Source organism: Homo sapiens, chromosome 14 (assembly GCF_000001405.40).
Source record: "Homo sapiens chromosome 14, GRCh38.p14 Primary Assembly".
In the NCBI taxonomy this organism is placed as follows: domain Eukaryota; kingdom Metazoa; phylum Chordata; class Mammalia; order Primates; family Hominidae; genus Homo; species Homo sapiens.
The window spans coordinates 58210616-58226347 of NC_000014.9; the positions used below are offsets into that span (position 1 = coordinate 58210616).

The 15732-nt window shown below is 38.0% G+C and overlaps 1 protein-coding gene across 4 annotated transcripts in view; it reads left to right on the top strand.

Annotated features, from left to right (window-relative positions):
- ACTR10 (actin related protein 10) overlaps positions 1-15732 on the top strand; it is a 35488-nt gene that overhangs the window by 10467 nt on the left and 9289 nt on the right. The window contains exons 5-10 of one of the 4 annotated variants that reach the window (XM_011536960.2): positions 677-784; positions 3016-3083; positions 4590-4669; positions 9079-9114; positions 12986-13086; positions 13168-13241. In XM_011536960.2, coding sequence (XP_011535262.1) covers positions 677-784; positions 3016-3083; positions 4590-4669; positions 9079-9114; positions 12986-13086; positions 13168-13241 — 467 coding nt within the window. The remainder of the gene's footprint in view (positions 1-676; positions 785-3015; positions 3084-4589; positions 4670-9078; positions 9115-12985; positions 13087-13167; positions 13242-15732) is intronic. The other 3 variants (NM_018477.3, XM_011536961.2, XM_047431587.1) reach the window with 3 other exon arrangements.

A 15732-nucleotide genomic window follows, 5' to 3' on the forward strand; every position in this document is an offset into this window, starting at 1 on the left:
GCATCTATTTTTTAAATTTAACATCTTCCTCTATATTTATGTTTCTTGACCTCTTCTTTTTTTCTTTTTTTTTTTTTGAGACAGAGTCTTGCTTTATTGCCCAGGCTGGAGTGCAATGGCGCGATCTCGGCTCACTGCAACCTCCGCCTCCTGGGTTCAAGCAATTCTCCTGCCTCAGTCTCCCTTGTAGCTGAGATTACAGGCAGATGCCACAACACCCAGCTAATTTTTGTATTTTTAGTAGAGACAAGGTTTCACCATGTTGGTTAGGCTGGTTTCGAACTCCTGACCTCGGGTGATCCGCCCGCCTCAGCCTCCCAAAGTGCTGGGATTACAGGCGTGAGCCTCTGTGCCCAGCCTCTAGACCTCTTCTTTTATCCCTTTCAATTTTCCCTTCCAAAAGAGAACAAGAATAAAGAAAAATGCTTCATAATTGTCATTTTGGAATGAAACAGTTGAGCTATTTTTATTACAGTGTATTTTGGTTATTGAGTGAATTTATATAAATCAACAAACTAGTTCTTAATTACTCTCATAAAATGGTTGAGTAGGTATCACCATATAAATTAATATAATGTTCCTGTGAATTTTTTCAAATATATTTGGATATAAGGCAAATACCTTCAAATAATGACACTCATTCCGGTTTTGTTGTATTGATTTTGTTATTTTCTAGGTTCCATCTGTCTTGCTTGCTCCAAGTCATCTAATGGCTCTTCTGACGCTTGGAATTAATTCTGCCATGGTCCTAGATTGTGGATATAGGGAAAGCCTGGTGTTACCCATATCTTTTTTGTCAGCCAGCCACCTTTGCAGTTTTTACTCTACTTTAACTAAAATAATTAGGCTAATTATAAATGATTTGTATTGTACTGAACTATTTTGGGTTACTATGTACAAATATGAATTACAATGTGGAAAAAGTTCACAGGATTATAAGACTTAAGTTTACTTTTTGTAGAAGTTATTATTGTTTGGTCCCAGGATATACTCCAGGAGTATACCTCATGAATATTATGTTCAGTTTTTAAAAGAAAAATCAGGATGTGTCAAGTTGACTAGAATAGTCAAGTTTTAAGAAAAAAATCATACAAAGAGTAATTGGAGAAACTGAAATGAGTATGTTCGATCCAGAAAGATTTCAAAACTTAATGGCAACATGAAATCAGCCTTCAAACAGCTGAAGAGCTCACTGGCCTCTGTAGTCGCAGCTACTCAGGAGGCTGAGACAGGAGAGTGGCGTGAACCCGGGAGGCGGAGCTTGCAGTGAGCCGAGATCATGCCACTGCACTCCAGCCTGGGCGACAGAGCGAGACTCTGTCTCAAAAAAAAAAAAAGAATACGTTTTTTCTTTTCTTTTTTTTTATTTTTTAAATCTCCAGAGGCTTTCGTGAAGGCAGTATGCCTTAATGTTTACAAGCTTGGGTTTTAGAATCAAATACACAATAAGTGCAATGCAAATCTCAGCTAAGCTTTTTACTACTTGGTCAGGTAGCTTAATCTCTTCGGGCCTCAGTTTCTTTATCTATAAATTGGGGATTATAATATTTCCATCTCATAGAAGAGTTGTGTTAGTTGAGTGAGGTAATATATATAAAGTGTTCAGCATAGGATTTGGCACATAGTAATTTTCTCAGTACGTGCTGTGGTTTTTATATCATTGACCATAGGCAAGAACTTACTAATAATTCAAGCTGTCCCAAAATTGAATTACTGACCGTATAAACTAGTACATTTCTTTTCATTATAAATATTTAAGCAGAGTATAGATGAGCATCTCTTAGAATTGTCCTAGTGGACATTGCTTTATTGAAAAGGATGTTGACATGCATGAATGTAAGACTTGCAATTTTGAGATCTACATGTATATTTATTAGAAAAAATATTCATGGAAGGAAATTAAGCATCATTAACTCCTAAGGAATTTAATCAAGCAGTAGTGTTTTTTAGTATAAAGTACTTTGTGTTTAATTCTTAAAACAACCATGCAACATGAGTATTATTATTCTCCTTATATAAATGAGAATATTGACAGTTGGGATGGGTAGTTGACTCCTCTTCTTATAAACATGTAGCCAGGATATAAACCCATGTTTGTTTCCAAAGCTGATGCTCTTACCAGTATACTTAGCAAACCCACAGTAAATATTGTTTACTTCCCTCTCAGCTCCGTCCTGTAGAAATATAATGTGGACCATGTATGCAATTTAGAGTGTTCTAGGCTGGGTGCCGTGGCTCACACATGTAATCCTAGCACCTTGGGAGGCTGAGGTGGGCAGATCACCTGAGGCCAAGAGTTCGAGACCAGCCTGCCCAACTTGTCAAAACCCCATCTCTACGAAAAATACAAAAATTAGCCGGGTGTGGTGGCACATGCCTGTAATCCCAGCTGCTTGGGAGGCTGAGGCACAAGAATCACTTGAACCTGGGAGGTGGAGGTTGCACTGAGCCGAGATCGCACCACTGCACTCCAGCCTGGGCTACAGAGCAAGACCCTGTCTCAGAAAAAAGTTAATAGAGTTTTCTAAGAGCCACATTTTAAAAGGCATGAGAAAAGATGAAATTAATAGTATATTTTATTTAACCCAATGTATTCAAAATATTCCAATATTCCATCAATACAAAAATTATAATGAGGTATTTTAGTGAGGTTTTTTGGTATTAAAACCTTCTAAATTTGGTGTGTAGCTTAGTCTTAGAGCACATCTCAATTCAGACTAGCCATATTTCATGTATTAAGTAGCTGCACAGGCCTAGTGGCTACTTTATCAGATGCCCCAGCTGTATCTAATGAATTGTGTGTGGTCATGTGCTTATGTGTATTTTTATTCTGTTTTCTTTGATGAAGAACATGAAAAAAAACTTACTCTTTGATTTTTCTGTAACTATGTTAAAAATAAGAAATAAAAATTTGTCACTAAAGCATATTTAGAACAGTACTGCAGAAGGTGAGGAAAATATCAAGGAAACCACATTTTATCTCCTAAAATAGTAGTATCCTTGACTACTCTATAGATATATGAAGGAATCCCAGTTCTAAATTGTTGGGGAGCACTACCCCTAGGAGGAAAAGCTCTTCACAAGTAAGTTTCTTGGAATTTAACATATTCATTTCACCTGTGCCACAAAAACAGTTGCTAATCTGTTTGTTGATCAGTGATCAATAGAGGGCTTGTGATACGGACAGTGAATTTTATTCATTCCGCCCTCTATTAGCTTCGAGTATATTCATTTTTTAAGAATAAACCAGTTTTTTAAATTTTTAATTTTTGGGGGTACATAGTAGGTGTATATATTTATGAGGTACCTGGGATGTTTTGATACAGGCATGCAATGAGAAATAAGCACATCATAGAGAATGGGGTATCCATCTCGTCAAGCATTTATCCTTTGAGTTACAAACAATCCAGTTATACTCTTTACATGATTTTAAAATGTACAATTAAGTTATTATTGTCTACAGTCACCCTGTGGTGCTATTAAATAGTAGGTCTTACTGTTTCTATTTTTTTGTACCCATTAATTATCCTCACCTCCCTTGTATCCCTCCACTATCCTCCCTGGCCTCTGGTAGCCATCTTTCTACTCTCTATGTCCATGAGTTACATTGTTTTGCTGTTTAGATCCCACAAATAACTGAGCACATATAATATTGGTCTTTCTATGCATGGCTTATTTCACTTAACATAATGATCTCCAGTTCCATCAATGTTGTTGCAAATGACTGGATCTCATTCTTTTTTATAGCTGAATAGTATTCCATTGTGTATATGTACCACATTTTTTTCTTTTTTTTTTTAACTTTTATTAAGTTTAGAGATACAAGTGCAGGTTTATTACATAGGTAAACTTATGTCATGGGGAAGACCTTTATTATTATTATTATTATTATTGAAATGGAGTCTCGCTCTGTCACCCAGGCTGGAGTGCAGAGGCATGATCTCGGCTCACCGCAACCTCCGCTGCCTGGTTTCAAGCGATTCTCCTACCTCAGCCTCCCGAGTAGCTGGGACTACAGGCGTGCGCCGCCACGCCTGGCTAATTTTGGTATTTTTAGTAGAGATAGAGTTTTGCCATGTTGGCCAGGCTGTTCTCAAACTCCTGACCTCAGGTGATCCACCCGCTTCAGCCTCCCAGAGTGCTGGGATTACAGGCGTGAGCCACCGTGCCTGGCAGGAAGATCATTTTTATTTAAATCATAATAATCGGGCTGGGTGTGGTGGCTCACACCTGTAATCCCAGCACTCTGGGAGGCCAAGGCAGATGGATCACCTGAGGTCAGGAGTTCAAGACCAGCCTGGCCAACATGGCAAAACCCTATCTCTACTAAAAATACAAAACTTAGCCGGGCATGGTGGCGGGCACCTGTAATCCCAGCTACTCGAGAGGCTGAGGCAGGAGAATCACATGAACCTAGGAGGTGAATGTTGCAGTGAACTGGGATTGCGCCACTTCACTCCAGCCTGGGCAACAGAGTAAGACTGTCTCCAAAAAAAAAATCATAATAATCTATTATGTAGTTGAAAGTATCAAATAAGGATATCAGTTTCAATATTTTCATTCCAGTAACTTTTTTTTTTTAATTTCAGAGAGTTGGAAACTCAACTATTGGAACAATGTACTGTTGACACAAGTGTTGCTAAAGAACAGAGCCTTCCCTCAGTGATGGGTAAATTCATTTTAAGTGGTTTAGGAGTGGTTTACACTCTCTTTTTGTTCTTCAACTTGTATTTTAGTCTTTGCTCCATTGCATGATTATTCTCTTTTCTCCCCATGCCACTCTGATGGTACTGCTTCAACTATAAGCTCACCATTGAACTTTTAATCACTAAATTCAATAGTTTGATTTTAGTCATCCTTTCCAGAACTTTTGACATTGTGGATCATCATGTACTCTTGAATGCTTTCTTCTCCTTGGCTTTCAGGATTCTTTTTTTTAGTGGTTGTCTATTATTTCCCCAAATATTCCTCTGGTTTCCTCTGCTCTTGCTTTCTCTACTTGTATTCGACTAGGGATCTAGTGTTTGTTCCTTCTTTTTCTCTACTGGCTTTTTAACTGTGATCTTATCTACTCCCACAACTTCTACATCTGCATGCTGTTGATTCTGAAATGTGTCACTGGGCCTGATCCTTCTTCTGAACTTGATATTCATATTTCCAACTGATTATTAGAGACTGTGCATGTCTCTAGGCACCTCAAACTTAAGATTTCCAAAAGTGAATACATTATGTCTTTCCTCAAATTCATTTCAATTATTAGATAAAGGTAATATTTTCCTTGTCTCCCGTTTTACAAAACTGGAAGTTAGCCTTTCAATTCTTCAGAAATCTCTTTCAGATCTCATTTTTCTTTCTTTCTTTTTTTTTTTTTTTTTAACCTTCCACACCATTGAACACCCGAGAGCAAAGACATTGTTTTAATCTAGGCCCTCATTTCTTAGATTATTACAGAAGTCTACTCTGGATGGATTCGGTCTGTTTCACACTGTTGCCAGGAATAACTTTCCACAAATATTTTTATGTTTTTGAGACAGGATCTCACTCTGTTGCCCAGACTGGAGGGCAGTGGCGCGATCTTGGCTCACTGCAGTCTCCACCTCCTAGGCTCAAGCCATCCTCCATTCTCAGCCTCCTGAGTAGCTGGGACTACAGGCGCAAGCCACCACACCCAGCTAATTTTTGGGGGGTACATTTTGTAGAGATGGGGTTTTGCCATGTCGCCTAGGCTGGTCTCGAACTCCTGAGCTCAAGCAATCCACCAGCCCCCGCCTCCCAAAATGCTGGGATTACAGCCTGAGCCACTGTGCCCAGCCAATTTTTCACAAAATAAATATAAATACATTGCTCTTTTGCTTGAGAATTTTTGTAAGCTCCTACAGGTTAAAATCCAAATTATCTGTTGGATATAAATGTTTCTTCAAAATCTGAGTTTGTTCTACCTCTTATCCTTAGGTCACTAAACTTTATCCTTTGCTCCTTATTAAAGCTACAGTAAATTTCTTACAGTTGTCGAGGCACCGTGAGTCCTAGCACAGCCCTGTGCCTTCATTTATTCTTTTTCTTTCCCTGGGATGTTTTTCTTTGCCTAGTTTGGTTTTTGATCCCTCTGCATGACTCAGCTGGAATGTCATCTTAATGGTGAAGCCTTCCTCATCTTCCCTAAGCAGAATAAATTGCTCCTCTCTGTTAAGCCCTTGGCAGTAATTTATTATAGCACATATGACACATTCTCATTTGCCTCTTAACTCACTTGTTTCCCCCAGGAGACTTTGAGGATCCCTGTCTTATTTATTTTTCAATCTGCAGCACCTAGTATAGTGCTAGGGCATTGAATATATGTTGGAAAGCGAGATTTTTGCGACACTTAGGCATACCTATGTTTTCCTGTTGTTCCCTATTGATAGTTAAGTTAATAGCATTTTTCATTCTGTAGATCCAATTATAGCTTTCAAATTCCAGATAACTTTGTGATGTCTTAGTATATTTTGGTGACAGGTAATTTATAAAAGGTCTTCAAAGATAATAAATTCAGTGTAGCATCCCAAGATGTTCTTTGTAAAGGTCTTTAAACCCAATAATATTTCCATAAAATTATAAACGATACATTCTTGGATATTCTTTTTCTAGTCAACCTTGTACTGATTCTAACCTTTCCTTTTAATACTCACAATCTGAGTCTGTGATAGCCATGCAGTCCTACAAAATTGTGGAATCAAATCATACAAATATTTGCTGAAGCACCCACTTAGTAGGATCAGAAATGCAAATACGGCTGGGCACGGTGGCTCACGCCTGTAATCCCAGCACTTTGGGACGCCAAGGTGAGTGGGTCACTTGAGGTCAAGAGTTCGAGACCAGCCTGACCAATATGGTGAAACCCTGTTTCTACATAAAAAAAAAAATTAGCTGGGCATGGTGGCTAATCCTGTAATCCCAGCTACTCGGGAGGCTGAGGCAGGAGAATCGCTTGAACCTGGGAGGCGGAGATTGCAGTGAGCCGAGATCGAGCCATTGCACTCCAACCTGGGTGACAGAGGGAGACTCCGTCTCAAAAAAAAAAAAAAAGAAAAAGAAATGCAAACAAATTTAAAATGTCTCTTTTCCAGGTTCTTAGCAAAGATTATATGCAAGTCTGAGATATGCTTGAGTATTCTTAAGTGAATTTTGAATGAGCCTCTTTCATTTAGTGTTTAGAACTTAGTTTAAAAAAGAATGAATATATCATAGTAACTCAAAAAGGCTAACCTAAGTACACTGATTGGAAAAATGTACAGTTTAAATTATATACCAATATGTTATGCTTCTTATTTTCCTAACTGAAATGTAAGCATTTTTTTTAGAGCCAGAGCCAGGGAATGCCTCTTGTTTCTAGTCTTTACTTGCAAAATTTAAATAGTTATAATTATTTGCCCCTTATGATTAAGGAGCTCCTTCCCAAAGCAGCATCTACTCTTAGCTAAATTAAACTCTTTATTTCCAGGCCTGCCTTACATTTGCCTAAAGAAAACAGTTTCTCATATTACCAAAGTTCTTTGACATGTTAAAATTTATATAAATGTTCCAAGAGAGAGCATTGAAGTTGTGGAATGCTGTAGGTTTTAGCACTTATTTTTAAATTGCAGGTTCTTACAGTCAAGTTACATTTCTCTCATCTATTTATAATCAGGATTAAATCTTCTGGCATATCTTTATCCTCTTGATTTTAACACTTAAAGATAGGAAATCTTCAAAAATTTTTTATCATGTACTGGCCCCACAGGTAAAATAAAACTTCGAACATGTTATCTTTAGTATGTCTGTTTATTTATACACCATATATGTACTATTGTTACTATATTATGAAACACAAAAGTAAGCCTTTGGAAAGGATGAGATAATAAAGGTAAAATAATAAATAATTCTAAACTTATACTTACTAAAGATAAAAATCTTTTGCAATATAATTAAATATTAAATATGCTTTTTTTTAAAAATTATGGCTTAACATTTTAATGGTGTGGTTTCTAAGTTTACCTAATTTTAATGGCTCTCAGAACTGAAAGTTATAGTTGACAACAAATGTAGATCCAGGTGGAAGAAGGCCATAATTATGCTTATTAAATAATGATTTATTTTTCAGCTATAGATGTCTATCTTCCCTGATATCAATAATTTATTCTTATAAATCAATGAAAATATTTTTACATATTTTACAATGGGTTAAAAATTATTATTATTATTATTTTTTGAGACGGAGTTTCACTCTTTTTGCCCAGGCTGGAGTGCAATGGCATGATCTTGGCTTACCCCAAACTCCTCCCGAGTTCAAGCGATTCTCCTGCCTCATTCTCCTGAGTAGCTGGGATTACAGGCATGCACCACCACACCCAGCTTTTTGTATTTTTAGTAGAGACGAGGTTTCTCCATGTTGGTCAGGCTGGTCTTGAACTCCCGACCTCAGGTGATCGGCCCACCTTGGCCTTCCATAGCGCTGGGATTACAGGCGTGAGCCACTGCGCCTGGCCCCAAAGTTAAAAATTCTTAGTTTCGAAGACTTTAAGTTAGAAAATTTTGTTTCTGAGACAGATTTTTGGCAACAAAATTTTATAACAATGGTAATATATCCAAACCAAAGGCTCCCTGTATTGCATGAAGGTAGATATACTTGGTATCTTTAGCTGAACTTTGAATGAGCCTCTTTCATTTAGTATTTAGAACCTAATTCAAAAAAGAATGAATAAGTACTTTCTCAGTTGTTTTTTAAATGTCACCTTTACCTTGAAGGACAAGATTAAAAGATTGTGTGTGGTACTTTTTAAAAATATGTTAGCACATTACTGACAACTATTTATTATCACCAGAAAGATAAACTTGAAACTTCAATTTTTTGCTTCAATTTCCATGGTTTGTCTTGGCTTTGAATGATGATATTTCTTCCCTAAAACAAAATTAAATTTTTCTGTTAGACTTTTTGAGAAAATTATAGTAGTTGTATTTTTAAAATTTTTTCTAAATTGAAAAATAGAAATGTGAAGGCAATTTAATAGACTGTTTTTAATTATTAAAGTTTTATAATTCTAAATGAAATATTTGTTTTAGGTTCAGTTCCGGAAGGTGTCTTAGAGGACATTAAAGGTAAACTAAGTTCTCATTTTTGTCCCTTTCATCCTTAAGTGTTACTTTGGAGGGCATATGCTTCTAAACATTTACACAGATAGAAAATATATTCATAATGTAATATCCTAAAAGTATTTAATATATAGGTTATGGGATACTCTAAGTACAAATTCCACTTTTTTTTCACACTTAGGGAAGCTGTGGCATAGTGATGATGTGTTACTGAAGCAGCTTCTCAATTGTATACAGAGTATACAGGGTTACCAGGGAACTAGTATTTTGCAGTGTGAAAGAACAGTTAAATTGCTTAAGAAAGCTACTGGTTTGATGTAGTATAATGTTTTTTACTCTAGTTTTCTTTATACATTTTTCTAAGAACTTCCGGAATTGTGACCAAAGTACTACACAGTACATTGTTTTCACCTAAGTGAGATTTATTGCTTCTACTTTGCTAGGGTGAATTTCTATGATAAAGTTCAAATTGGGTTTTCTGGTATTTTTATTCACTAAAATAAAATACATTTAAAATATAATCTTCAATACTTGGCATGTCATTAATGTTAATAATTTAGGATGTTTAATAGATAGACAGTAATGGATTTTAGAGTTAAATGAGAGCTGGAGATAATCTAATACAGTTGGGGCTGTGAAATGTTATTTGTCCAGTGTCACACAAGTAGGTAGGGTTAGAGCTCAGGCTACAAAATAGATCTTGCTTTCCATTATATTACCTATTATTTTTTATGTGTTTTAATTACCTAAATTCTTTTCAATTGTTATAAAATTTCAATCATTTGTAATGCTTATTACAGTAGTTCAAATAATACAGAAATATCTCAGGTAAAATGGTTTCCTTTCCTCTCTTCCATTTCTATCCTCCGTGATATAACAGTTGTTGACCATGTGGAGTGTTTTCTTTTCATATGACCTCCAACCTGTGAAAAGATGTGTAACTCTTCCATTAGTCAGGGAGACATCAGATTGGCAAAAATTTGAAAGACATCTGGTATTAGTGAGATTGTAGGAAAATGGATGTTTATTGTTAGTAGTAAGGATTGCAAACTAACCTTTTTGGAAAGCAATCTGGCATATTTATGAAAATTCAAAGTGTTGTATCCCATCTAAAAAGTGTTATTGCATGAAGTTTGCTAACTTCATTATAAGGAATGTTATGTAGCTGTTAAGAGCTAGAGTATTGTTTTGGAAGAAGGTCCATAATGTTAAGGAAGAAAGCATGTTGTTGAAGGTATGTTCAGTAGAAACCCTTTCTGTTAAAAACAAATATGCAGGGGCTGGGCACGGTGGGTCATGACTGTAATCCCAGCACTTTGGGAGGCCGAGGTGGGCGGATCACGAGGTCAAAAGATCGAGACCATTCTGGCCAACATGGTGAAACCCCGTCTCTACTAAAAAGTACAAAAATTAGCTGGGCGTGGTGGCACTCGCCTGTAGTCCCAGCTACTCAGGAGGCTGAGGCAGGAGAATTGCTTGAACCTGGGAGGCGGAGGTTGCATTGAGCCAAGATCGCGCCACTGCACTCCAGCCTGGCAACAGAGCGAGACTCTGTCTAAAAAAAAAAAAAAAAAAAAAAATATATGCAGGCTGGGTGTAGTGGCTGGCCCCTGTAATCCCAGCACTTTGGGAGGCCAAGGCAGGTGAATCACTAGAGCCCAGGAGTTCAAGACCAGCCTGGACAACGTGATGAACCCTGTCTCTACAAAAAATACAAAAATTAACCAGGTGTGGTGGTACAGACCTATAGTCCCAGCTATTTAGAGGGGCTGAGGTGGGAGGATCACTTGAGCCTGGGATCTCCTGGTGGAGGCTGCAGTGAGGCAAGTTCAGACCACTGCACTCTAGCTTGGGTGACAGAGCAAAACTGTCTCAAAAGAAAACAAAAACAAAAACTAATATGCAGCATACACATATTCATTGTATTGTGTGATCTTGAACTGGGATGCAGAGGTTGCAGTGAGCCAAGATCACGCCATTGGACTCCAGCGTGGATGACAGAGTGAAACTCTGTCTCAAAAAAATAAAAATAAAACTACAAAAAATTAACCAGGCATGGTGGTGCACACCTGTAGTCCCAGCTACTTGGGAGGCTGAGGTAGGAGGATCACTTGAACCCCAGAGGCGGAGGTTGCAGTGGGCTAAGATTGCGCCACTGCACTCCAGCCTGGGCAAGTCAGTCTCGACTCCATCTCAAAAACAAAAAAAAGATCTCAAGGCTAGGTATTTACTTTGCTTAGATAGTCACGAGAACTTGAATAAAATATAAAACATATAAGTAGCTTTAGTGCCTAGCTCACTGTCTAGCATAGTAGCATATTGTGGATTCTCAACACATGTGTTTTGAATTTGTGAATGAAATTCACTACATAATGTATTATGAAAAGAATTGTGTATAATATATATCATATCAATATGCATTATATATATTATACACAATTCTTTTCATAATATATGGCTAACATGCTTTACAAGTAATACAACCAAGTTGTCAGATTTCTTGCATTTAACATCAATTTTGTCTCTACTTTAAAAAAGGTATTCCTTAACTACCTTGAAATAATTTTAAGCAGCTTATTGTAAAAAATACTTTGCAATAGAATTTTTAAAAGAAAAAGTTTTCAAAATGCAAAAAGTAAAGTGATATAGTAGAAAGAAAGTGGTAGTGTTGGGGTGTGCTAATGAGGAACAATCATTACAAAAAGCCCAAAATTAAGGAATGTTAAATTGCAACTAAGAGCAAAATTTGGCATTGTACCAGCCAGGCGCAGTGGCCCATGCCTGTAATCCCAGCACTTTGGGAGGCCAAGGCAGGTGGATCACTTGAGGTCAGGAGTTCGAGACCAGCCTGACCAATATGGCGAAACCCTGTCTCTACTAAAAATACAAAAATTAGCTGGGCATGGTGGCGTGTGCCTGTAATCCCAGCTACTTGGGTGGCTGAGGTATGAGAATCGCATGAACTCAGGAGGCGGAGGTTGCATTGTGCCGAGATCACGCCACTGCACTCCAGTCTGGGCAATAGAGTGAGACTCTGTCAGAAAAAAAAAAAAAAAAAAAAAAATTGGCGTTGTGTTCTGACCAACCAACATTTTTATTAATTTTATTTCTTTTTTTTTCCAATTTCTTTTTGGTAACATCTTTTCACAACAAGTTTCCTTAAAAAGAATCAGACAGAGAGAGGGAGAAAGAAAATCTGGTTTAAAGAAATATGCTATTCAGTTAGAATAGCTACATTTTTATGATGGTAAAATTAATTTTTATTGTGGTCCTCCTTATACAAGAGATATCAAACAACAGTTTCCTCAAAGGTGATTTTTTTTAAATGAGGTTTTATACAAGATGAATGTACAACATGTTTTATGACACCTTAGTCAATGAAAAAGGTTGTTTTTTTGTTTTGTTTTGTTCTGGTTTGTTTTTTTTCTTTGAGATGGAGTTTCACTTTTGTTGCCCAGGCTGGAGTGCAGTGGCGCGATCTCGGCTCACTGCAACCTCCACCTCCCGGGTTCAAGCAATTCTCCTGCCTCCTCCTCCGGAGCAGCTGGGATTACAGGCACCCGCCACCACGCCCGGCTAATTTTTTGTATTTTTAGTAGAGATGGGGTGTCGCCCTGTTGGGCAGGCTGGTCTCGAACTCCTGACCTCAGGTGATCCGCCTGCCTCGGCCTCCCAAAGTGCTGGGATTACAGGCAAGAGCCACTGCACCTGGCCAAAACAGGTTTTTTAATGAACAAATTATTGTTAGCTAACTAAAGATGGGAATAGAGTTTATAAAATCCAAAGGAATAGATGATGAGCATGTTCACTTGAATAGAATTGTTTTAACTGGGGTGTAGGTACACTCTGTTCAATTATAATAACTAGCCATAATAAGGTCTCCTTTTCTTCCTTAAAGCGCGTACTTGCTTTGTAAGTGATCTGAAGCGAGGACTAAAAATCCAAGCAGCAAAATTTAATATTGATGGGAATAATGAGGTAAGTTTAAAAAAAAAAAAGGCATCTTTTTGCAAAGGTTACAACATGTGTGGACTTATGTTTATGATATTTATATTTCAGCGTCCCTCCCCACCCCCAAATGTTGACTATCCATTAGATGGAGAGAAGATTTTACATATCCTTGGATCAATCAGGTTAGATCTTAAATTTTTACGGCAAAGTAGTAAACTAAAATAAACTTTTGGCTTTTAAAAATATTTGTATGAGCCTTTATTTCACTATTGCCATTTTAACAGTTCAGTGTTTATTGTTAAGCCTCATTATTCATGATTAATTTTATTCAGCTTTTTTTTTTTGAGACAAGGTCTTGCTGTGTTGCCCAGGCTGGAGTGCAGTGGCACGATCTCGGCTCACTGTAACCTTCATCTCCTAGGTCCAAGCAATTCTCCTGCCTCAGCCTCCCAAGTAGCTGGGATTACAGGTGCCTGCCACCATGCCTGGCTAATTTTTGTATTTTTTAGTAGAGACAGGTTTCCGCCATGTTAGCCAGGTTGGTCTCAAACTCCTGACCTCAGGTGATCCGCCTACCTTGGCCTCCAGCAGTGCTGAGATTACAGGCATGAGCCACTGTGCCCGGCCTATTCAGCTTTTTAAATTTTTAAAAATAAAAAAAAAATTATCTCCTATTTATCAAGGTAATTGAGAATTAGTTCTCATAAATACAAGAATTAGCCACCACCATGACTGGCTAATTTTTGTATTTTTAGTAGAGATGGGTTTCACCATGTTGGCAAGGCTGGTCTCGAACTCCTGACCTCAGGTGATCCACCCGCCTTGGCCTCCCAAAGTGCTGGGATTACAGGCGTGAGCCACCACGCCTGGCTGGTAGTTCACACTTGCAACCCCAGCACTTTGGGAGGTGGAGGTTGGAGGATATCTTGAGCCCAAAAATTCATGAAACTAACCATTCTTTGAAGTGGGGCAGGAAGTATGACACTTTAAAACAGGGGTTAGCAAAATATTTCAGTAAAGGACCAGACAGTAAATAGCTCAGGCTTGGCCGGGCGCAGTGGCTCATGCCTGTAATCCCAGTACTTTGGGCAGATCACCTGAGGTTGGAAGTTCGAGACCAGCCTGACCAACAAGGAGAAACCGAGTCTCTACTAAAAATACAAAATTAGCCAGCTGTGGTAGCACATGCCCGTAATCCCAGCTACTCAGGAGGCTGAGGCAGGAGAATTGCTTGAACTCAGGAGGCAGAGGTTGTGGTGAGCCGACATCGCACCATTGCACTCCAGCCTGGGCAACAAGAGCAAAACTCCATCTCAAAAAAAAAAAAAAATTGCTCAGGCTTTATGGGTCCATATGGTCTCTGTTGCAACTACTCAACTCTATAGTTGGAATACAAAATTAGCCATAGATAATATTTAAATGAGTGAGCATGACTGTGTTCCGGTAAAACTATATGCAAAAACAGGTGGTGGCTGTATTTCATTCTCAGGCCATAGTTTGCTGACTGCTGCTTTAAAACTTTTTGTTAGAAAGAATGCATTTTTCCAAATATACTCAGTCTTTAGGACTTAGTAATTCACCGTTTATTGATTTGACTATTCTGTCTGATGATCCAATATAAGTTGTTGTTAAGACTTACATAATCATATTAGTAACAATATAACATTTGTTTATAATGCAACTTTATAAAATTTATATTATAAAAGTTTCCTTGTAAAATATAAGGTCAGAAGATACACAAAAAATTATTATGTAATGTATTGAACATCCTATTAGGTTTTGAGTAATGTAGAACTTGAAGTATTAAAAGAATGAACATAAATACACAGAAGTTAAAGGCAGTAGGACAGGGTAGCAAAAGAGTAAGAATGTAGTACTTTTTGCTAGCTATTTTTATATCATTTTAATCTCTTATTTAAGTTATATTTATTAAATTACTTTTTAAAATTTTCTCCTGATTGTTTATTGAATCTCAGTATAAAAGAAGAAGATAACTACTTAAAGAAATACAGAGGCCAGGCATGGTAGTTCACACTTCTTTTTTTTTTTTTCTTGAGACGGAATTTTTGCTCTTTTCCCCCAGGCTGGAGTGCACTGGCGCGGTCTCGGCTCACTGCAGCCTCCTTCTCCTGGGTTCAAGCAATTCTCATGCCTCAACCTCCCAAGTAGCTAGGATTACAGGCGCCCATCACCATGACTGGCTAATGTTTGTATTTTTAGTAGAGATGGGTTTCACCATGTTGGCAAGGCTGGTCTCGAACTCCTGACCTCAGGTGATCCACCCACCTTGGCCTCCCAAAGTGCTGGGATTACAGGCGTGAGCCACCGTGCCTGACTGGTAGTTCACACTTGCAACCCCAGCACTTTGGGAGGTGGAGGTGGGAGGATACCTTGAGCCCAAAAGTTCAAGACCCTGCCTCTACAAAAAAAAATTTTTTTTTAATTAGCCAGGCATAGTGGTACACATCTATAGTCCTAGCCTTTAGGAAGCTGAGGTGGGAGGATCACTTGAGCCCAGGAGTTTGAGGTTACGGTGATCTATGATTGTACCACTGTACTTCAGCCTGGGCAACAGAGTGAGACCCCATCTCTTTTTTTCTCTTATTAAAAAAATTTTTTTGTAGAGATAGAGTCTCACTGTGCTGCCCAGTTGGTCTCAAACTCCACTCAAGC